General features: G+C 43.5%; 1 protein-coding gene across 2 annotated transcripts in view, besides 1 other annotated feature; it reads right to left on the bottom strand.

Annotated features, from left to right (window-relative positions):
• PRPS2 (phosphoribosyl pyrophosphate synthetase 2) overlaps nucleotides 1-22,594 on the bottom strand; it is a 32,811-nt gene extending 10,217 nt beyond the window's left edge. Inside the window, exons 1-4 of one of the 2 annotated variants that reach the window (NM_001039091.3) lie at nucleotides 22,387-22,594; nucleotides 14,607-14,799; nucleotides 4,674-4,772; nucleotides 3,860-3,984 (exon numbers count right to left, since the gene is read on the bottom strand). In NM_001039091.3, coding sequence (NP_001034180.1) covers nucleotides 3,860-3,984; nucleotides 4,674-4,772; nucleotides 14,607-14,799; nucleotides 22,387-22,508 — 539 coding nt within the window. In that variant the 5' untranslated portion in view covers nucleotides 22,509-22,594. The remainder of the gene's footprint in view (nucleotides 1-3,859; nucleotides 3,985-4,673; nucleotides 4,773-14,606; nucleotides 14,800-22,386) is intronic. The other variant, NM_002765.5, reaches the window with a different exon arrangement.
• Nucleotides 21,889-22,338: a silencer, noted in NCBI's record as "silent region_20663". NCBI's record gives its function as "represses an Ori minimal core promoter by ATAC-STARR-seq in GM12878 lymphoblastoid cells {active_cell/tissue: GM12878}" and the evidence as "EXISTENCE:reporter gene assay evidence [ECO:0000049][PMID:35858748]".

Genomic DNA, 24,368 nt, shown 5'->3' with positions numbered 1-24,368 from the left:
GGGACATTAAAAAAGAAAAAAATATACAGAATCATGGGAGAAGACAAATTTTAAGAGAAGGATGACTCCTACATAAACTCAGAAGCCATAATGTGAAGAAAAAATAAACCTGACTACGTAAGAAGGTTTTTAAAGTCCTGCAGAGAATAAAAATACAAAATAGGAGAAGAAATGAAAAAACTTGGAGAAATATTTGCAACACACATGAGAAACAGCTGTGATCTCGTCTATGCAAAACTGTAGACAATCCACAAGAAACGTCCCAGCCAAGAGAACAATAGGCAAAAGATTTGAATAGAGACCCATCTCATGGAAAATCAACATACCCTGGTGAGGGCACTACCCTCACCCACAGCAACCAGAGCTCACAGGAAGAGGATGCCATAGATCACCTACCTGATCTGGAAGTAAACTGCCTGATAACCCACTGTGTGAGCAAGGCTGTGTAGAAAGTCACTGGCATCCATACATGATGGAATGTCAACTGGTATATTTTTTGGAAAAGACCATATTTTGGCACTGCCCATCAAACCTAAAATGGCTCATGCCTTTTGACTCGGCAATTCCACTTCTAGGAACGTATCCTACTAGCACACGTGTACAAAATGTCAAAGCAACGATATTGCTTCACAACTGCATTTAAGAGTGCAAACAACGGCACCTACAAATGGGGAAGAGGGGGCCTGACTGGTCACAGGAGCTGTGGTACATGCACACAAGGGAATATTGCACAGCTGCACAACACGACTATGGAATCATTGTTAAGATACAGCAAGTGAGTTTTTCAGAAAAGCACAGTGAAGAACTGTGTACATCGCATTGCCATTTGCGTGAAATAAATAGGCAGATATACGCTTAAATAACACAATTCTGACACTGGAAATAACGGTGGCATTTAAAGAACAGGGATGGGACACTTTTGTACTGTCTGAATTTCTGCTAAGAGCATGTATGATATTCTTAGACTATGTATATAAAAACAAGGTTGGGGGAGGAAAGAAAGATGGTCATACAAATTTGTGGAATCTACTATTCTTTGGGCTGAGTAGCTGCCAAAATAACATTTTCTGGTTTACAAAGGTATCTGCCAGACACAAAGGCCATGTTCTATACTACCAATTGATATACAAAGTCTCCAAAAGATAACCCCATAAAGATAGAAAGTAGATTCCTGGCTGCCAGGGATAAGGTGGGGGGAAGTAAATGGGGAGTGACTGCTAATGGGTACAGGGTTTCTTTTTGGGGTGATAAAAATGCTCTGGAATTAGATAGTGATGGTTGCACAAATCTCTGAATATGCAAAACACTGCTGAACTGTACACTTTAAATGGGTAAACTGTACGTATTTGGAGTTTTTTGGTATTTTCTTTTTCTTTTTTGAGACGGACTCTCGCCCTGTCACCCACGCTGGAGTGCAGTGGCGTGATCTCGGCTCACTGCAACCTCCACCTCCCAGGTTCAAGTGATTCTCCTGCCTCAGCTTCCTGAATAGCTGGAATTACAGGCGTGCACCACCAAGCCCAGCTAATTTTTGTATTTTCAGCAGAGACGGGGTTTCACCCTGTTGGCCAGGTTGGTCTCGAACTCCTGACCTCAAGCGATCCACCTGCCTTGGCCTCCCAAAGTGCTGGGGTTACAAGTGTGAGTCACCACACCCGGCCAATTGTACGTATTTGAATTACATTGTAACAAAGCTGTTATTATAACCCAGTTACATCTGACGCTCGCTCCTGTACCCCTTTGGCTGGATTCTTTGCCTCTAACCTTCCACTGGGCCAGTGCATTTGCCTCATTTGAATGCAGATTCCATGTGACTTGCAGAAGTTTCCAAGTCAACTGCAAGCATTTCTAGTAGATATGACTCCAAAATGTTGCTCACAATCTTTTGCAGAGGACTCTCAGCGTCATTCAACCTTGATTCTTGGCCAAGGGCATTTTTGTGAACATTACACACCGTACAGTAATAGGCTACGTGACACAGCGCTGCCCTCCACCCCGTGACTGCCCACCTAGGGTCTTTGCAAGTTAACTTTCTGCTCCCGTCTTTTATATATTTGTGTCTCCTCCCTGGCCACAGCCACTTCCTGCTGCTGGCAGAGGCCGATCTCCAGCTGCATGGTCCGTTCCTTCTCTTCTGTGCTGGGAACCCCAGCAGCCGTTGGAAGGCAGCTTTGAGCAGAATGAACAAGGCTCTTCTAAGAATCAGGGCCTGTGTTTCCCTGCAAGAGTGTTAAGACAACTTTCTGGGCTACTTCTAAGCTTTTGTGTTAGATCCTAGGTCCTCAGCTGGGCTGCAGGCAGATGAGGGTGCCAAATGAGGGACAGGCTTTTGATGTCAGACATTCCAAAGGCTGATCACTTGTCACTCTCATCACTCCTCTATTAGTGCACATTTAGAGCTTCCTTGCTTCCTCACTGGACTGGGGGGTAGAAGTCTCTCCTACTTCTCCCTTATGGAGGTCTCTACCTACACAATAAAACTCCCTTCCCAGCTTTTTTTCTTCCCAGATAGCATCTGCAAAGCTCTACAAGGTCATTGGGTCACCAAGCCTCAGCTTGCAGCATTCTCTTATTGTGCTCATCCTTGATTCTGAACACCCTGTACCCTGATTGCTTGTTAACGCCTCGAGTATCTCTGTGAAGCCCTTCAGAGGTGCTACTTAGTACCACGTTCTCACACCACTGGGTGCCTCATCACTGCCGTACTGTTACGACCAGGTTGTTGTTAACTCTCCTTCACCTCAGTTTCCTTTTAAACTTACTTATTTGATAGTCCAGTAATTATTATCTTATCCCCAAGTATTGGCTGCCTGCTGCCCTGTTGTCTGCACATGCTGGGCCTGCGTGGACTGTGTTCTCTTGGTTTTCTAACTTTGGATCAGGCATCGGGTCAGGTTGAGCAGGGAGCACTCACCGAGCAGCTAGGATTGTGAAATTCTCCCTCTGCAGGGGCTCTGCAGCCTGGAGCACATTTTCGTGTGCATTCCACTCCACATCTGAATGTGGCACAGGCTCGTGGTTTGACTTCTCATAGGTGACTATTTCCTCCCCTAAACCAAAGGCCGAGGTAAAGATGGGCTTTCCCCCTGGCTTTTGGCTAGAAATCTGGCCTTCAGCCCTCTTCTCTTCTTCTTCTTCTTCTTTTTTTTTTTTTTAGAGTCAGGGTCTCACTCTGTTACCCAGGCTGGAGTGCAGTGGTGTGATCATAGCTCTCTGCAGCCTGGAGCACCTGGGCTCAAGTGATTCTCCCGCCTCGGCTTCCCAAGGTGCTAGGATTACAGGCATACATCACCGTGCCTGGCTTTAACTCCCTTCTTTATGGGGGTTTCCAGGTGAGTATTAAAACCCAAGCCACCAGGCTCTTGCTGGATCTGATGCCCATCCCCCAAGCCACCTGGACATGGCTTTCCGCCTCTGCTTTATTTCTTGGTCTCAGATATTTCCTTCTTGGTATTCTATGTACAGAGATTTCTTTTAAAAAAAAATTGTTCTATTTTGGCTACCATTTCCAAGTGCTGTTAATTAAAAGACTTATTTTCCAATTAGGCTCATTACTTTTATAATCAGAAAACGATAACTTAAAAAAACCTCAAACACATCTACCCTTTGCTGAAAACAAATAAACCAATATATACCTATTGTGTATGTGTGTCTCTGTATTTTCTTCTTTCCTGAATGACGAAATATTAACAAAGATGATGGGTTTCTGCTCTGGAAGTGAAGCCTGCGGTCTACTTACTTGCTCATTAGCAAAATAAAGCTTTAAGTAATTTACAGCATGCTTCCTTATCTAATACATCGGAAAAGGAAAAACCAATCAGCAGATGGAGAAATCTGCAAGGTGTAGCCTGCATGATACCTTTTGGCTCCCCCTGCGTCAGGTGAAACAATGATACAGTTCTTCCACTCGGCAATGTTTTCCCGAATCCACTGCAGGACTGCGGGCTCCGCATACAAATTATCCACAGGAATATCAAAGAATCCCTAAAGGGAGAAGTGAGTGTCATGTTGCAGGGTTTTGTTTTGTTTTGTTTTCTTTTGTTTTTTTAAACGATAATCGCTTTCATTAAATAACATTTGCATTTTTTGTTCAAAAGAAGCTTTTATAACAGACTCCCTTTTGTTAATTTTAAACAGAATTAAATCAAAAGACAGATATGTTATAGGGGCATATTTCAGTCCAATCTGTCTCTTGGGACATATTCCATTGTCTTATGATGGCCTATATTCTGAGGAATAGAATGGCTATGCAGGACGGTGAGGGAAAAGGTTTGTTGTCTCTTAAGTAGTTATTATAAATCAAATACTTCACGTTCATTATATAACACAAAGTGGCACAGTATAATTTGGCCTGTTTTAGAGACAAAGAAAATAAGTTATGAAGAAGTTAAAAAGTGTACATTATGACTGCCGTTCTAATTATTTTCCATAAGCTGAGATGGAACTATATAGAGCTTACTACCAAAAAGCCATCCCCACTCCTCCAAAATTGACTGGGGGGCAAGGTGGTGATAGAGACTGGAAGTACTAATATCAAATTATATTTTCAAGTTTAGTAAAGACAAAAATCCAAGAGAGTAGCCATATATAAACTCAAACACAAGTAATGTTACCTAAGATTATTTAATTTAACAGACTTGATTTAACCATTTGCAGAAGGAAAACACGGATACCTGTATCTGAGAAGCATGCAGGTCCATGGTGATGATGTGATCCGCCCCAGCCACCGACAGCATATTGGCCACAAGTTTTGCAGAAATTGGGGCACGACTCTACAAGTAAGAACATTAATTTTATAACAGGAAAAGATGGATACTGTTAGATTCCTCCCACTAAGACGTACATGAGAAGGATAAATCATAGATGCAATCAACGAAGCATCAAAAAGAAAATTATACATGTTGTGACAGCAAAAGATATATTCATTCCATCTTATTCAGCAAATATTTACTATTTACATATACTACTGCAAAACTAAGTGCTTGACGCTGGGTATAGAGAACAAATATGAAAGAAGCAAACAGTTAAACATATGTACATGTAATGTCACAATCTGTGTAACTGAAATCATGGTAAGTGTGTAGAAATAAAAGGTACCGAGAGAGAGAGATGATAGTAGTAGGAAGGGCATAAAGTTTAAACAAGATCATTATTAGCGGTCCCTCTGAGGAAATCACTTTTAAGGCAAGTTTAGCAAAGGCGAGGAGAATAGTGTTCTAGAAGGACAGAGTGGCACATGTGAGATCACTGAGGTCAAGAGACCCTCACACAGCCAGAGGCTAAAAGAAGTCCAGCTATTAAAGAGGAATTCATGAGCCGACATTTGGACATGAGCTGACAGTTGGACGCTAACACTATTACAAATGGAAAAAAACAAGGTCAAAGAATGAATACTGTAAGGGGATTGATAATAGTTACTATTTAATTTCATACTTAGTGTCATTTACTGATATTATGTTCTTTGTAAAATTACCTAACTTTTCTATAGCTTTGGTTTCCACATCATAAATTATGGACAATACAACTGCCCACATCAAAGAAATCCAAGAAATTATATAGACACATGATTAGACCTAGGTGGCGTTCAGCATTTTGTTGTAAACAACAGTATTTCTATATATCAGCCACAAAAAAGAAAATAAAAGCTTAAAAAAAGATTTCATTCAAAATAGTAACAAATGATCCTTGTTACACACACACACACACACACACACACAGTATATTCATGTAAAAACACATGCAGGAAGGAATTACATTGAAAATGTTAACAGATTATTTGTGTTTTCCCTAATATACCACTTTTTAAAAAGAAATATATATTTTATCAAAAATAGGTATATATGGGGCGCGGTGGCTCACGCCTGTAATCTCAGCACTTTGGGAGGCCGAGGTGGGCGGATCACGAGATCAGAAGATCCAGACCATCCTGGCTAACATGGTGAAACGCTGTCTCTACTAAAAACACAAAAAATTAGCCAGGCGTGGTGGCGGGCGCCTGTAGTCCCAACTACTTAGGAGGCTGAGGCAGGAGAATTGCTTGAACCCTGGAGACAGAGGTTGCAGTGAGCCGAGATGGCACTACTGCACTCCAGCCTGGGCGACAGAGCGAGACTCCATCTCAAAAAAAAAAAAAAAAAAAAGGTATGCATGTATGTTCAAAACAGAAAGAAAAGAATGAGAGGAAAACACTCTAAAAAGTTAACAGATGTTTCTGGAATGTGAGATTATAGGAAAATATATTTTTCTTGTTTTTTTATTTTTTCAATCTTCTCCACTAATTATAGATCATAACTCATGTTTTCATCATTTAACTCCCCCGTACTATATTCCATGTTGCCTTTGGGATAAAATCGAATTTTCGCAGCAGAACACAGCTCCACACTCTGCATTCAGTAGTTCTTCAATAAATATTTACTAACAGAATCTCTATTAACACTAAATGTCCAAGGCTTACTCATTAGCCTCACTAATTGTGAGAATTATTTAGTGTAACAAAGTTCCAGGATAATAAAAAGAGCAAATCAGTTGCTACAACTGCTTTGTAATAGAACCTGATTTGCAATACTAATCAATTTTGTGCTTTTCCTACAATTGTCGAATCAGTTACTACGGGTTGAAAGGTCACCTCCAAAATTCAGGTGTTGCCAATGTGATAGGATTAAGAAGTGGGGCCTTTAAAAGGTGATTAGGCCATGAGGGCTGCTCCCTTGAGAGCGGGATTAAGGTCCTTCTAAAGGAGGCTTCAGGCAGCATTTTGCAAACTTGCCCTTCTGTCTTATATCATGTAAGGACACAGCATTCTTCCCTCTGGAGGACGCAGCCCGTACCAGACACCAAATGCTAGTGCTTGGTCTTGGTCTTCCAGTCTCCAGGACTATGAGAAAATATATTTTTGTCCTTTTTTTCCCCCCTCCCAGGACACACGTTCAAAGAATATTTCTTTTTTTTTGAGATGGAGTTTCGCTCTTGTTGCCCTGGCTGGAGTGCAATGGTGTGATCTCGGCTCACCGCAACCTCCACCTCCCGAGTGGCTGGGATTACAGGCATGCGCCACCACAACCGGCTAATTTTGTATTTTTAGTAGAGAAGGGGTTTCTCCATGTTGGTCAGACTGGTCTCGAACTCCCGACCTCAGGTGATCCGCCCACCTCAGCCTCCCAAAGTGCTGGAATTACAGGCGTGAGCCACCGTGCCCAGCACCAAAGAATATTTCTGTTCTTTATAAATTACCCAGTGTGTGGTATTTTGTTACAGTAGCACAGACTAAGATGCCAGCAAAAAGAATCCTCCCTTCTCATCTCTCCTCAGTGGCATCCAGTGTTTCTTAACTTCTAGGATCCAAACCACAGGGTAATTCCTAAATTCACGCTTTCTGATTTTCTTCTTCACACCTTGTTTACAAATTTGGTTTCTGTTCTGTGTCTCAGAGTTTGGCTCATACCCAACTGAATCTTGCAGGAAAAATGATTTACTAGTTAACTGACTTGCTAGCCTATACAAAGAAAAGTAAGTACAGCACTGAAACAAAGGTAGTGTCAAGGTACAGTAGCCAAAAATAAAACATTCAGCTCCCTTAGTGAAAAACGCATAAAAGTCAAATGTTTTGCAAGTCAGCCCAATCATGACAGAGTCCCAGGCTATTCCAGATGTTATTCAAGGCATCAAATATCACCTTTTGAAAAGTGTAAAATTGACAGGCTTTTAAAAAAATTACAAGACTGTAGAAATTCACATCAGGAAAAACTGTTCTCAATTTCTCTGCTACAAAAAAGGAAAAAAAGAAAATCTTATTGAAAACAGAACATGATCTTGAAAATGATTTTGAAAAAAGAAAAAAGAAATCCCCAAACTACAAGTCCTTTACCCGCCTCAGAAGTAATTATTCCCAGTCTTGCCCACAATCTACCTTTTTTTTTTTTTTTCCTTTTGAGACGGAGTCCCGCTCTGTCACCCAGGCTGGAGTGCAGTGGTGAGATCTCAGCTCACTGCACTACAACCTCTGCCTCCTGGGTTCAAGCAATTCTCCTGCCCCAGCCCCCTGAGTAGCTGGGATTACAGGCACACGCCACCAGGCCTGGCTAATTTTTGTATTTTTAGTAGAGATGGGGTTTCACCATGTTGGCCAGGCTCTTCTCGAACTCCTGACCTCAGGTGATCCGCCCGCCTTGGCCTCCCAAAGTGCTGGGATTACATGTGTGAGCCACCATGCCCGGCCCAACCTACTGTTTTTACCAGGGAAGGGAACCAGCAGTTATTGAGTGTCTTCTATAGCAGGGACCGGCAAATTAGAATCCATGGGCCAAACTTAGCCCACAGCCTGTTTTTGCATAACCTGTGAGTTAACAATGGTTTTTACGTCTTTAAACGGTTGAAAAACAATCAAAAGAAGAACAATATTTTGTGACATCTGAAGATTATATGAGGTTCATATTTCAGTGCACATAAAGTTTTACTGGAACACAGCCGCACCCCTTCATGTACACATTGACTAATGGCTGCTTTCACACTAAAATGGCAGAGTGGAGCTGCTGCAATAGATACCCAACGGCCCACAAAGCCCAAAATGTTTGACATCCAGCTCTTTTCAGAAAAAGTTTGCCCACTCATGTATCATAATATGGTAGGTACTTCATAAATAGTAGCTAGTGTCGTACTTAATTTACAGATAAGGAAACTAAAGATACAGACAGTTTAAGTAACTTTTACAAAGGATAAACTGAGTAAATAATGGGCTGGAATTCAAATCTGAGCCTACTTGATTCTCAGTGCCAGAGCTCAGACCACTTGGCACCATGTCTTTTACAATTAATATTACATCATCATTATTTTTCTATGTTAACATTACATTGTATGGATGTGTCCTAATTTATGAAACCATTCCTTCACCATCAGAATCTGTCCCTGGTGTCTTGTACATACAAAGAAAACCCCAAATAAAATGTTACATATGTGCAGGGCTTGCTTAAAAAGCAGCAGCAAGGTTTACAGAAAAAAACAAAACCAGCTTTGAATCTGGTTAAAAGCTTCCAGATTTTTTTTTTCTGGGCTTCTTTGCAAGGCATTCCAAGAAGAGCAATTACACAGAATTTCATTGTCATTAGATGTCATAGGTAATACAGCCCTAAGGGAAGGAAACAGCACAACAGAAAGTCTTGGAGGGCTGCCCAGAGCTCCTCCTGCGGCTGTGCAGGAGCATTTTCTTTCTGGGATGAGAGATCAAGTGTAGGTCACAGCTTCTCATCACAATCTAACGCCACATGGCTTTATACCTTCCTAAATGAAGCAAAAAGGTAGAAGTGCATTTCCCCTAACCCTCACCCCCCACCCCAATCATGCTTGGTCTCCTCATCATTCACCTGTACTGGTAAACAGTAGCACTTGTCTAAGAGATTCTAAGAGATGAAGTATGCTGACAGGCTCTGGCCATCTCTCTTAGGTGCTTACTAAATCCCAGTTCCCCTCACCAAAGTACAGTTTCTCAGTACAAAGCCAAGCCACGTGATCCAAGGTAAGGAAGGAATAGTTAGGAAAAGTATTATCAGCCATTTAAAAAATGCAAAGGTGGGCCAGGCGCGGTGGTTCACACCTGTAATCCCAGCACTTTGGGAGGCCGAGGTGAGCAGATCATTTGAAGTCAGGAGTTCGAGACCAGCCTGGCCAACATAGCAAAACCCTGTCTCTACTAAAAATACTAAAATTAGCCAGGTGTGGTGGCGCAAACCTATAATCCTAGCTACTTGGGAGGCTGAGGCAGGAGAATTGCTTGAACCCCGGAGGCAGAGGTTGCAGTGAGCCAAGATTGTGCCACTGTACTCCAGCCTGGGTGACAGAGCGAGACTCTGTCTTAAAAAAATAAAGCAAAGGCACACCTCAAATACTAGATAAAATTAAGAATTAAGAATTCCCCTTTCAGAAGTTTGGGGAAAGAACAAAATTGTCTCCTCACTATAATGAGTCACACTGACTACACAGACATGTCAGAAATAATGGTGTCAGAACAGCTTATGTGTCTTGGCCACCTCCAGAGGCTATAGAGAGGGTGGCCCTATGTCACTTGCCCAGGACAGTCTAGGCAGACACCTGTTTCCCAACACAGTTATCCATAGAGCTCCCTTTCAATCTTGAAAGCATCCTGGCCTAGATGATAAATGATATGTACTATCTCAAAGCTCAAAGTGTCCTTAAAATATTCGTCTCTTAACACATCAGTGACTTCCTTTAAGGCCTCCTGAAGTGAGCTGAATGGTGGCCCCAAAAATATCAGAGCCCAATCCTTGGAACCTGTAAATGTTACCTTATTTGGAAAGGTTTCTGCAGATGTGATGACATTGAGGATCCTGAGATGGGGAGATTATCCTGGATTATTCAGGTGAACACTAGATGCTACCTCATGTATCCTTTAAAGAGAGATGCCAGGTGTGGTGGTAATGCTTTTAATCCTAACACTTTGGAAGGCCAAGGCAGGAGGATCTCTTGAGCCCAGGAGAATTCCTATTCAAGACCAGCCTGGGCAACATAGTGAGACACTGCCTCTACAAAAAGCAAAAAATATTAGCCAGGCGTGGTGGTGTGCACCTGTAGTCCCAGCTACCTGGGAGGCTGAGGTGGGAGGATCACTTGAGCCCAGAAGTTTGAGGCTGCAGTGAGCTAAGATTGTGCCACCGCACTTCAGCCTGGGTGACGAAGCGAGACCCTGTCTCTAAAAAGAAAATTAAAAATGAGAGAGTGAGCGAGAGATCTGATGGAGACAAAGAGGAGGCCATGCGAAGATTCCAGCAGAGATTAGAGTGATGTGGCCTCAAGGCTGGCAGTCACCAGGAGCTAGAAGAGGCAAGGAAGGAGGAGCCTCCCCTGCAGCCTCCAAAAGGAATATTCCTCTGCCAACACCTTGATGTTGGACTTCTGGCCTCTAGCACTTAAGAGAACATATTTCTGTTGTTTTAAGTCACCCAGTTTGTGGTAATTTGTTATAACAGTGCTAGGAAACGAATACACCCCACCGTGATTCCTTCTTTCCTAGCTGTGTTCTCTAACGAGAAACCACATGACTTCCTAAGCCACTACACACACTGTCTCTCAAATGTTACCAACCGCCCTGCCTCTGCGTGGTTGATGATGAAAGACCTCTCTTCTATCAGCAGTTAAGCTCAGAAAGTCATGGAATTGTCTGACTGGGATAAAAAATTAAAAGCAGCTACAATGTTATTACCAAGAAACACACTTACAGCAAAGTGATTAAAGAAAGGGTAGAAGAAAGAAAAGAAATATGTTTTCACAATGGGTCAAAATGGAAAACACATCTGTCTAACATCAGGAAAGCTGCTACTAGCTAGTTAGACAACACAGTTCCACAAAACAGTTAAAGCCGGCTGGGCGCGATGGCTCATGCCTGTAATCCCAGTACTTTGGGAGGCTGAGGCGGGCAGATCACTTGAGGCCAGGAGTTCGAGACCAGCCTGGCCCACACGGTGAAACCCTGTCTCTACTAAAAATACAAAAAATTAGCCAGGCGTCGTGGCGCATGCTTCCCAGCTACTTGAGAGGCTGAGGCAGGAGAATCCTTAAACCTGGGAGGCAGAGGTTGCAGTGAGCTGAGACGGCACCACTGCACTCCAGCTTGGGCAACAAGAGCGAAACTCCATCTCAAACAAAACAAAACAAAACAAAACAAAACAAAACACAAGTTATAGCCACTGGAGTTCCAGAAATCCATAGGGCTCTTGTTAGTGGTGGCTGGGAGCACTACTGGCAACTAGGGGATGGAGGCTGGACTGCATCACACCTCCTACAATAGAAGGATTGGGAAAAAACAGTGCTAGTTTCTCCAACTCAAATAAGAAAACATTTTGAAAATACAACTTTGTAAAAAGAGGTCACCGCAAATCAGATATGTGCTAACAAAAATGTAGAGCTTCTGATATTTTATCACTTAATGAACAAAATGGGGTTACAAATCGGGTAATAGTGGAGGAGGGCATGTGCAATGATAAAAGGAGTAATTTTCTAAAGAAGTTACAATATATTCAATATCTTAGGGCCAAATACAAAATATAAAATCTATTGTGAGTGAAAGAGCTTGATTAAAAATACAGCTACAGGCCAGGTGCGGTAGCTCATGCCTGTAATCCCAGCACTTTGGGAGGCCAAGGCGGGCAGATCACTTGAGGTCAGGAGTTCGAGACCAGCCTGGCCAGCATGGTGAAACCTCGTCTCTACCAAAAATACAAAAATTAGCCAGGCGTGGTGGTGCACACCTGTAGTCCCAGCTACTCGGGAGGCTGAGGTAGGAGGATTGCTTGAGCCTGGGAGGCGGAGGTTGCAGTGAGCTGAGATCGTGCCACTGCACTTCAGCCTGGGTGACAGAGTGAGACTCCGTCTCAAAAACAAACAAACAAACAAACAACAAAAAACCAGCTACAATGTGAGAATTTACTAAACCACAAGGAAGGAAGAAATAATGGCAGAAAATTAGCTCTTCTATGACATGGATGTGATATGACAAGGAGAAAGATGCTAAACAATCCTGTGGAAACACACAGATGGGAAGAATAGCTAAGACAACAGATTATACCAATGGGACAAAATTAGAAAATTGAAATTTAACAGCTAAAAATACAGTTTAAATCAAGTTTAAAATAAAAGGAGCTGTCTGTATAAATAGCTAGTGGGAGGATACAGCTTCACAGCAGTGTATGTGACCTAAGGTTTTGGCTGCCCAAGGTCAAGTTTAGATCATAAACACACACACACATACACACACACACACACACACACACACACACACGTGCGCACGCAATCTATCAATGGTCTAATACAGGGGTTGGCAAACTGTAGCCTATAGGCCAAATCCAGCTAGCCACCAGCCACCAGCCACTTGTTTTGGTACTGCTTGTGAGCTAATAATGGCTTTCACATGTTTAAATGGTTGAAAAAAATTCAAAATAGTATTTCAAGGCATGTGAAAATAATATGAAATTCACATTTCAGTGTCCATAAATAAAGTTTTATTGGAACACAGCCATACCCATTCATTTACATATTGTCTATTGCTCTTTTTGAAGTACAACCAGAGTTGAATAGTTGCAACACAGACCATATAGCCATTTACAGATAAAGTATGTGGACCCTTCTAATTAGATTTTAGGTGAGAAATTAACTGACTGGCCATCTTCAAGACAGGGAATGGAAACCATGTCTTGAGGAGACTGGGATTAAAATTCAGGGGGACTTTGGTATATGAATTCAAATTTATAAAGGGTTTTTTTCAAATATGAGGGGATCTTGTGTGCTGCTTCAGAAATCTGTGTTGTTTCAGAAATGAATTATGGAGATAAAAAGCAGCATATTGGGGAAAACCTTTCTTGCACTGAGTTACCAAATCACAGAACAGCAGTGTGTCTTGAAAACTGGCAGGATTCTCGCTGAGCCTGGCTGAACATCTATCTATCCATAAGATACGGAACACACAACAGCTGGGAGTTGACCACTGTAGTAGGTCAAACAATATCCCCCCAAAACTCATGTCCACCCACAACTTCAGCATGTGACCTCATTTTGGAAATAGGGTCTTTGCAAATATAACCAAGGTAAAGATTAAGTTGAGTTCATTCTGGATTAGGTTAGGCCTGAAATCCAATGACAGTGTCCTTATAAGAAACAGAGAAGAGACACAGGGAAGAGGCCAGGTGAAGAGAGAGGCAGGGACCAGAGTGATGTAGCCACAGCCAAGGAATGCAAGGAGACACCAGAAGTTGGAAGAAGCGAGGAAGCAGCCTCCCTTACAGCCTTCAGAGGGAGCGTGCCCCTGCCCATTCCTTGATTTCACACTTCTGGGCCTCCGAAACTGTGAGGGAAAAATTTCTGCTCTTTTAAGCCACGCGGTTTATGTAATTTCTTATGACAGCTTAGAAAACTAATACAATCTCCTTCAAAGTTCTTCTCAACCTCCGATTTCTCTGTTGCTCTGAAAGGCAAAGACCAACCACATTTTCTTCAATTTTTTTCTAAAGACTCACAGAGCCTCCTCTGATGCTAATGTTGTGAAAAACATAATTCAATGATACTATTTCTGTTCTTTTTAAAAGGTTAAAAAGAGATCATGGGTTTTTTTTTTAATTAAACTTTTTATTTCGGGGGAATTGTAGATAGACATGCAGTTGTATGAAACAACGCAGAGATCCTGTGAACCTTTTACCTAGTTCCCTGTGGTAACGTCTTGTGAAACTATAACACAGTATCACAGCCAGGACCCTGAAATTGATACAATCCAGTGATCTGATTCAGATGTGCTCTAGTTTGACTTGTACTCTTGTGCATGTATGTGTGTGTATTTAGTTCTATCCACCACCACAAAGACATACAATAATTTCATTATAACAAGGACAATAATGGTATTTTAATACCTGCAAAAATATGCATTACCTGTTTCTTTGAATATTAATGTCAGGGTAGGTTCAAAGCCAAATCTTCAACAAACAAAATAAGAAAGCATATTTACTTGATCATCAAAGGAAAAAGCCAACATTTTCCAGATAATTCTAATCAAGGGGATAAATGAGGAAAAACAACATTGACAGTGGCCCACAGCAGGTTTCTAGGGCACACACCTCTCCTACCTTGTCCTTTTTATCTTGTCGGGCGTATGGGAAACACGGGATCACGGCAGTTACTCTGGATGATGACGCAATCTTGCAGGCATTGATCATGATGAGGAGTTCCATCAGGTTGTCGTTAATTTCCCCGCAGCCGCTCTGGATGATGTAGACATCTTCCCCTCTCACGCTTTCACCAATCTCCACGCTAGGAAAAGAAAACTGCCATCGGTTAATATCGAAGCATATTTGCATCTTGGGCGTCCCTGAGACCACCCCTAGGTTTGATGATCACCAGGATGACTTATAGGACTCAGCCTAATAGTTGCACTCATGGCTGTAATTTATTGCAGAGAAAGGACACAGAGCAAACTCAGCAAAGGGAAAAAGGTGCATGGGGTGAAGTTGGGGGAAACAGGGTGCAAGCTTCCAAGACTCCTCCCTGAGGGGAGTCAGAGGTAGAGCTTAATGCCCCAGTAGTGAGCTGTGACAACACGTGTGAAGGGCTCTCTACCAGGGAAGCTGCTTAGAGACTCAAGTCCCAGGGTTTGTATTGTGGGCTGGTCATATAAGCACCCTCTGCCTAGCACGTACCAAAATGTCAGACTCACAGGCATTCAGCATGAACCACATTGTTTATCAATTGTTTAAGAGTTTATGCAGTGAGCCATCCTTACTGGGAAATGGTGGGTACCCTTGCAAAATGTAAGCTCCCAGAGGCCAGCCAAGGGCCAACCTTGCGAACAGGCCTAAGTCTCAGGCCTGCTAATGTTAACTCTTTTCTGCAAAATACTACATTTAGTTTTAGTTTTTTATTAAAGTTATACAGTCATATTGCTTAAAAAATTCAAACCATTCTGTAAGACGTATAACAGAGAAAGTGCCCAGAGGCCACCAATTTCAACTCTTGATAGGGTTTTTGGATACTTTCCTTCAAGTCTAGCTACTATGTGTGTATTGCTGTGTCTTGATTTTTCATTTTAGGCAAAGTGTATTGACTTCTCACTATGGAAGATGAGGACTGAACTCCATTTCCATTCAGTTCCATCACTTGCAATGTAAACTTCCCATCTCGCCATCATCCCAATATAGATCAATATTCACATTAAAGATTGACTGTACGTTTTTAACTGCGCAAATGCTGCTCAGAGCTCTGCCATGCAATTAACTTAAACGAATGCTTGTATTTTCTTTTTATGCACATCTTTTCTTTTTATTTTCCCTGGAGGTCATTCTCTTACCTTTTTATCTGCTAAGTTTTCTGAATCCTGAATCCAGATTCCACCCTAAACCCTTCACTAACAATCAAAATCTCCCAAGATCAGAGGCCTCAAGTCCCATCTGCATTTCATCGTCTTGCAGGCATCCCTCCCAGGGGTGGCAGGCCTGGGTTATCTCTCTGCCTGTGCACAGCTGCCATCCGGGGATTCCCTGCCCCCTCTCCTGCACTCCATTTGCCATTTTCTGTATCCTCTTTCTTGGTATACTTCCTTGTTTTGCTGGTTGGCATCCTTGCGTAGCTTCTGGAGAAAGAGTAAATAGCAGCTAAGTTTTTGAAAATTGCATGTCTGGAAGTTTCTGTATTTCCAGGTACAGAATTCTGGATGTCCAACATGAGAGGGAGAGCCAGCTCATCCCTGGCATATTCCTTTGGTGGGAAGAAACAGAAAATAGTGCTGTGTGCTCAGGCATGTCCTTCCCAGAGCTCTGCGTCCAAACCAAGAAGATGGTCAGCTCTGCTATGTTTTGAAAAGGCAAATTTGTTCCAATGATTGATATTATTTGGAACAATTTGAGCATAGCATGAATTTCATGTTTTCTTATGCACAACCTCTTATCCCGAGACTGCAGAAAACTGCAGTGTACCCAGCTGAATGGAGCCACTTAGAAATACACAAACATACACATGTACACACCTCGAGGACAATGAGCCACACTCATTCACATTTGGTGTCACAACTTTTCATGTCATTTCAGAGAACCCTAAACCTCAGGCATTTTTCAATGGAAAGTTCCATCTCTGTCATAATATTTATGTAATTTTTTTTTTTTTTTTAAAGACAGAGTCTCACTCTGTTGCCCAGGCTGGAGGGCAGTGGTGACATCTCAGCTCACTCCGACCTCTGCCACCCAGGTTCAAGTGATTATCCTGCCTCAGCCTCCCGAGTAGCTCGGATTACAGGCATGCACCACCACGCCTGGCTAATTTGTTGTATTTTTAGTGGAGGGAGGTTTTGCCATGTTGGCCAGGCTGGTTTTGAACTCCTGACCTCAAGTGATCCGCCCACCTCAGCCTCCCAAAGTGCTGGGATTACAGACGTGAGCCATTGCACCCAGCCAGTATTTTTTGAGCATGTAATACATGTCAGTGTTTTACCATTTTGATAGGAACCCTAATCCGAAATTCTGAAATCCGAAACTTTCTGAGTGTCGACATCATGCTCAAAGGAAATGGTCATTGGAGCATTGTGGATTTTGGATTTTTGGAGATTTGGAATGTCCAACCAGTAAGTACAATAGAAATATTCCAAAATGCAAAAAAAAAAAAAAAAAAAAAAAAAATCTGAAATACTTGTTGTCCCAGGCATTTCTGATAAGGGATGCTCAATCTATATAACATTCCTATGATTTTTTAATGGGTCACTGAGGAAGTTTTTGAATGTTATGTCCCTAACCCCATTTTTCTCATAAGCCCTGTGGTTTTGGATTGCCTGATTTTGCATAGCGTGGTAATTTTTAGGAATACATATGTCACATTATGGCAGAATTGTCTGTAAATTTATTCATCCCAAAATGAAATATTTTAAAATTACAAATAAGGAACATGAATAATTATCCTTCTCTCTTCTCCTGCTATCAGATACTCAATGAAATTGTTTTCTTAAAAGAGCCAATTAAGGCTGGGCGCGGTGGCTCACGCCTGTAATCCCAGCACTTTGAGAGGCCAAGGTGGGCTGATCACCTGAGGTCTGGAGTTCTAGACCAGCCTAACATGGAGAAACCCCATCTCTACTAAAAAATACAAAATTAGCCAGGTGTGGTGGTGCATGCCTGTAATCCCAGCTACTCGGGAGGCTGAGGCAGGAGAATCACTTGAACCCGGGAGGCGGAGCTTGCAGTGAGCTGGGATCGCACCATTGCACTCCAGCCTGGGCAACAAAAGTGAAACTCTGTCTCAAAAAAAAAAAAAAAAAAAAAAAAGAGCCAATTATACCTAATGAAAATTTAAAAACAGGCTGGGCATGGTGGCTCATGCCCACAGTCCCAGCTACTTGGGAGACTGAGGCAAGGGGATTGTTTGAGCCCAGGAGTTCTAGTCCAGCCTGGGCAACATAGCAAGACCCCGTCTCTAAAAAAAATTTTAAAGAAAAGGAAAATAAAAATAAAGTTTTTCAAGTTGACATGTTGTGAAAATTAGTTTTGATAACATTCACACATCTTCTTGCACGCCTTCTACTATGGATGAAAATATGCCAACCTCACAGGATGAGGGGGATAGAAAGAGTTCTATGTGCTCCCTCCTATTTGAAGATCTAAGGAGCTAAATCTAACTGCTTTGTGAACACTACATCAACTATGACATAAACTTAATTTGGAAATTGCTATGGTTTAAATGTGTTCCCTAAAGTTCATGTGTTGAAAGCTTAATCCCCAGTATAGGAGTATTGACAGGTGAGACCTTTAAGAGGTGATTAGGTCATAAGGGCTCTGTCCTCACAAACGGATTAACGTCATCATTGCTAGAGTGTGCTCATTATCTTGAGAATGGGTTTATTATATTAGCAAATTTGGCCCTCTATTGCTCTCTCTCAAATATGCTCTCTTGCCCTTCCACCCTTCTGCCATGGGATGATGCAGCAAGAAAGCCCTTGCCAGATGCCAGCCCCTCAGTATTGGACTTCCCAGCCTCCAGACCTGTGAGAAACAAATTTCTATTGTTTATAAATTAGCCAGTCTCTGGTATTCTGTTATAGCAGCACAAAATGAACTACAGCAGAAATCAAGTACAGTATTATATAGCTGAGAGGTTGACAAAACACAGCACATAGGCTGTTTTTCTATGGCCTGTGAGTTAAGAATGGCGTGGTAGGCAGAATAATGGCCCCCTAAAGATGTCTACATCCTAATCCTTTGAATATGTGAGTTTATATGGCAAAGGGGAAGTAAATTTGCAGATAGCATTCAGGTTGCTCATCAGCTGACCTTAACATGGGGAAATTATCCTGGATTATTTAAATTGGCCCATTGTAATCATGGGGCCCTTAAAAATGCAAGAGGGAGACAGCAGAAGCAGGGTCAGAGCAACATTTTGTTGCTGACATTGAAGGTGAAGAGGCCAATAGTGAAGGAATGTGGGCTGCCTCTGGAAACCGGAAAAGGCACGGGAACAGATTCTCCCCTAGAGCCTCAGAAGAGAATACAGCCCTGCTAACCTGTGACAGACATTACCGTAACTTACAGAACTGTAAGATACCGCAGCAACAGAGACTACATGTGCTAGCACTGCCTAAAATATTTACGATTTGGCCCTTTGCAGAAAAACTTTGCCAACTCCTGGTCTTATGACGTTTATCCCACAAGATTAGATTCTTTGGCCTGTTTTTACTCAGGAACCTCAGTTCTCATATGACTAGCAGTCCAGGGGAGGACAGAGAATATCATCACCATGGCAACTTTTCCCCTAAAGCTAGTCCTGCTTCTACTCAAAAAGATGATCATGACTACCTTTATTCTAGGTCTTTAAAAAATTGTGGCTAGAAGGCAGCATCCATTTGCCATTCTGCCAGAGGATCTTTATTGACCCCCAAATAAAAACGCTGAAGAGCGTCACTGACTCAACAATAAACGGGCATGGTAACTAAAAGATAGCCACAGACTCTTAACACATTTCCCATCAAGGAGCAGGGTCTAGTCTCCCGCCCTTGAATCTGAGAGGGCTCTGTACTTGCCCAACAGCATATGACAGAAATTATGATACACCAACTTGCAAGCCCAGTCCTTAATGGACTGGTGGCTTCAATGTCCTGTCTTTTGGAACATGTGCTCTTAGAACCCAGCTTCCATGCTGTAAGGAAGCTCAAGCAGCCCCATGGAGAGGCCTACAAGAAGAGGAGCTGAGGTTCCTAACCAAGCTCCCAGGCAAAAGCTAGTAACAACTTCAGTCATGTGAGCCATCTTCAAGAACCCTCCAGCCCCAGTTAGCCGCCTCAGCTGTGACCAGCCTCAGCTGTGACCATACGCGGCAAAAACAAGCTTTCTTCACTGAGCCCTTCCCAAATTGCAGATTTGTAAGCCAAATCAACAATTACTGTTTTAAGCCATTAAGCTCTTTATTTATTACATGGTAACCGATAACCTTGTATAACTTTGCATAACCTTGTCTCACAGTATAGCTAAAGATTCTGCCAGCAGGTTAACTGACCATAGTAAAATGTTACAACAGAGACATCTAGACACCTGCTGTCCTAAGATGTCATCATGGAATTTCCATGGTCTATAGTGAAGCTGGAGCGGACCTCTCCCTGCATATCTGAAATGATTTAGGGATAAGAAGGTAAAATTGGAAGGCTCTATGTTCAGTAAAGTAGCATATAAAAAACGCAAAATGGGAGGATTGATGGCCAGGAGACAGCAAACCAGATTTCTGATCCTAGTTCAGTGACAGATTCAAGAAGGGGCCCTTACATGAACTGAATCAATTTTGTCTTCATTTTGCCCTTCAGTTTTTCCTCTCTACGATTACACAGCTAAAAGCTGGATTCCTAGCACAGTAACTGGTCCAGAGAGGGCTGTTTATAAAAATTAAGCTCTGTACTTGTACAGTTCATGGAAAAGAGAAAAGTCAGGCAGTGAACCTTTTATACTCTATACATTAAAAACATAAAATGTAGCTATATAGGCAATTCCCAAACTTCATGCTGAGTGGTTTTTGAGGTCCCACGATTTCTAATTATCAAGTGATGGTTATAAAATGCCAAAAACAAAATAAAAGTGAGTCTGCTTTATATTTGAACCAAATGTATAAACAATCATACTTCAGTGTCTGAGTGAGTTTTGCCCAGTGGCACATGTGGTATTTTTAGGAGAAACTCAACACTGACTTAGCAGTGAACTGATCTAGATTAACCATGCTCCTTAGCAAAAGATCATGCTGCACTGAGTACCTGGAAGGGCAACATATTTGCTTTCAAAATTTACTTCATCAACAAATTTCTCCTTTACTTATATGACGACACCTTCTGAACAAAAACTATTCTTCTTCTCGTGTTCTTACAGCGACTGAAACTTGAACAAGACTGGCAAAATACTGCAACACTCAAACCTAGCTCTATCCTTCTCCAGAGCCCTAGACCATCCTCTCAGACTTCTGCATTAAACACTGCAGAGTGGAATTCTTTAGCCAAAGTCCACCTGCCACTCATTCACAATGTTTCTTCGCTTATATTATCATCGGAGCCATAACTGGAATTTGCCACCTGGAAGAAGTCACGTAAGATTCACATATCCTAAAAAGCTGACTTGCCAAAATATAGCATCTTCCCCATCAGTATTAACATAACTCCTCCTTAAGAAATTTTTGCCTAACCCCAAGTCAAGATTTTCTGCTAGAAATTTTATAGTTCTAGATTTTACAATTAGGTCTATGATCCACTTCAAAGTTAATTTTTACAAATGGTGAAAAGTATGGATGGAAGTTCATATTTTTTGGCATATGGGTGTCCAACTGTTCCAACACCATTTCTAGAAAATGTTGGTAAAATTGAACCTTTGCCAAAGATATAAAAATTATCAGTAACTGTGGACAGTTAACGGTACTAGACATTGGAGGAAGAAGGGGGAAAAATGAGACCAATTTGAAATGAGTCAAGGAGCTGTGTGGACTCAGGCAGATAGACAAAGGAGCCCCCCAGGTCAGCTTCCGAGGATGGCCACCACCTGAGGCTCTCCTGGACTTGAGAAATGGGTGAAAGTTACAGTCGAATCACGGCGTTGTTGCTGGACACAGCAGAGTCCTAGAACAAGAAGGAAGCTGAAAGTCCATCATCTTTAAAGCAGCAAGAGTAGTGGGAGCAGAGGGGAGCCCAGCACGTGCGTCCTGGGGTTCTCACAGTCTTTCAAACCTTGGCACAACTGCACCCTCTGGATAACGCAGTGGTCTGCGCCCTGGCTGCTCAGGAGAAGCCAGGGAAGCTTGTAAAATCGCTGATCCTCCGCCCGTTGGATCAAACCCTTGGGGGCAGGTCGGGGGAAGCAGCGTTCGGACCGTCCCCAGGTAAACCCAGCGTGCAACCAGAGTTGGGGACGGGGGGAAACCTTTAGTCGCACGCACTGGTCTGAGGTTCAGCTTTGTAGGGACGCGGAAACTGGGACCAGCCAACCCAGGACGTCTCTCCACCGCGCGCTGACCCGATGCGGTTCCCGCCCGCTGCGCCCACTCTCTCCCCGACGGTCTGTGACCGCCCAGACGTCTCCCTTCCGGGCTGGGGACGCCAGGCCGGGCGGCACCGCTGGGAGGCCGGGAGCGGCTCGGGACCGCCGGGTCGCCGCGGTCCCAGGACCGGAGGCCCTGCAACCGGGGGCACAGCCGAGGCGCGCATCGGGACGCGCGGCGCCCCGCCTCGGTTTCTTCGCAGGCGCGGGCGCGGGGGCGCGGAGGCCGCGTTGCCACCGTCCCGCCCCGGAAGGGGGAGCGCGGCGTCCGCGGAGGTGGCCCGGGCAGGCGCCGGCCCCCAACCCGGCCCCGCAGCCGCGTGCCCAGCGCTCTCCCTAGCCCGGCCGCCGGCGCGGCCCCCACCTGGTCTCCTGGTTGCTGAACTTCTTCGTGACCACCTTGCCCAGCTCCAGGCCCAGGCGGTCGGCCACGCGCTGGGACAGGTCCTGATGCGAGCTGCCGCTGAACAGCACGATGTTGGGCATGGTGGGGCGCGGAACTCCGAGGGGCGCGCGGCGGCGGAGGAGGTGGCGGAGGCAACAGCGACAGCGACGCGGGAGGCTGCTGCTGCGGGAGCGGGAAAGCGCGGCGGCTAGATGTAGGGAAGGGGAGGAGCGGAGGGGGAGGAGCCGGAGGAGGAGCTAGAGGGGGCAGAGAGGGAGGAAGAGCGGGCGTGGAGGGGGAGCTGGAAAGTGCCGGGGGGCGGGGGCACAGCCCTGGCAGCAGTTTTGGACGCCCTGGGTGGTCCTGAAGCCCGAAGGTGTCCTTGCTCCGCGAGAGAGCTCCGAGCTTCATTCTTGATCTTCCAGACCTGCCTCGCGGGGAGAGCCAATGAACCGCGGTTAGCTGGGCACAGAGGGAGAGTTCGGGCCGGGGGGATCCCTCGAGGTGCTTCGCAGCCCGGAGCGACTTCCCACCCCGGAACACCGCAAACCCAGTGTGGGCGACTGGTGTTCAGCTATAGCAAGGGTCTGCAAACTACAGCCTATGGGCCAGATCGCGAGAGCTCCCTGTGTTTGTACCAGAGAGCTAAGCATGGTTTTCATACATGAACATTTGCACTTTATGTGATGATAGCAGACACCGCCTTTGAACTCCAATTAAGAGAAATATCCCCCCCGCAAAAGAATTCCTTTTCTCTCATTAATAGATGTGAGTTGCAAATAATTGTACTCAAATATTACCGTATTTTGGATTATATCAATAAAAACATTGTGACAATTTTTTCTCTCTTGTTATGTAAGTTCCTACGTAATATCTTCCCTTTTCTTGCTTGGTCTGCAAAATGTAAATATTGGCCATGTGGTCCCTCATAGTTCAAACTTGATGACCCCTGAACTACAGAGTTGCCCCTGCACCATGTGTCCTTAAAAAATCCAACCACTATGTGAGTCCTCATCACAGGCTGAGGGGAAGTATTGCTCTTGGTGGCTCACTGGATCAAACCAAGTCCCCCAGATTCACCATTTTTCGGTAGATGTGATGGTCCTTGGGGCACTTCACAACCTTCTGCCTGTTGGGTGCTCAAGGGCCTGATCCCAGGAACACAGATCTCCCTAGACAATCCAGCTCAGTCCCTCCACATCCCTGGAGTCAGGGCCTCCTTCCTCTCTTTCCTGCTAGAAACCAGCAAAAAGGTTTTCTCAAGATGCCAATGCAGTACCAGAGCCAACTTCAGGGCACAAACCAAGTGTAGGAGAAAGGAAAGCAGTCCCTGTCTATAGAGGGCTGGTTGGTGATGCTGGTCACAGTTTCACACTCCTCAACAAAGGCTGATTCAACCGGGTAGATAAATGGCTTGGTTTTACTAATGTTTGCCACGAATTGGCTCTCCATCAACAGCAAAGCCCACTTGCAATTGGGTTGTAGCCTACTCTAATCAGACTTCATAATGGGATTTGGGAGATTACAGGGATGATTCGCATCATTGGGATTTTTCATCTGGGTCCTTGTACTTTGCAAGGAGATTACTTGGCACATCGAGTGTTTCTTGTAAACTTTTGTATCTGCCAGCCTATCAAAAAGTTATTCAAACTGACAATTTTAGCAGCATTTCTGGCCCTTTTTCATTCCGCCTAGAGATGCATATGTGCCCTATTATGTGAGAAAACAAACAAAAACCCCTATCTGCAATGGTTTATTATCTATGTATTTCACAGCTAATTACCATAGCAATGAGATTTATACTTGACCCACTATGTTTAAAATTTTTATTGAGTCTGCTAATGTAGTTATATTTAAACTCTTCTAATAAAATTTACTATCAGCAAATTACTATAATTTTTATATTCTTAATATTTCTCTCATAGATAAAATTGACTAATAATGGTTTCTTCTAAATATAT

The sequence above is a fragment of the Homo sapiens genome, chromosome X (genome assembly GCF_000001405.40).
Source record: "Homo sapiens chromosome X, GRCh38.p14 Primary Assembly".
Lineage (NCBI taxonomy): Eukaryota > Metazoa > Chordata > Mammalia > Primates > Hominidae > Homo > Homo sapiens.
The sequence above is the reverse complement of the archived record's forward strand: the minus strand, read 5'-3'. Positions and strand labels throughout refer to the sequence as shown.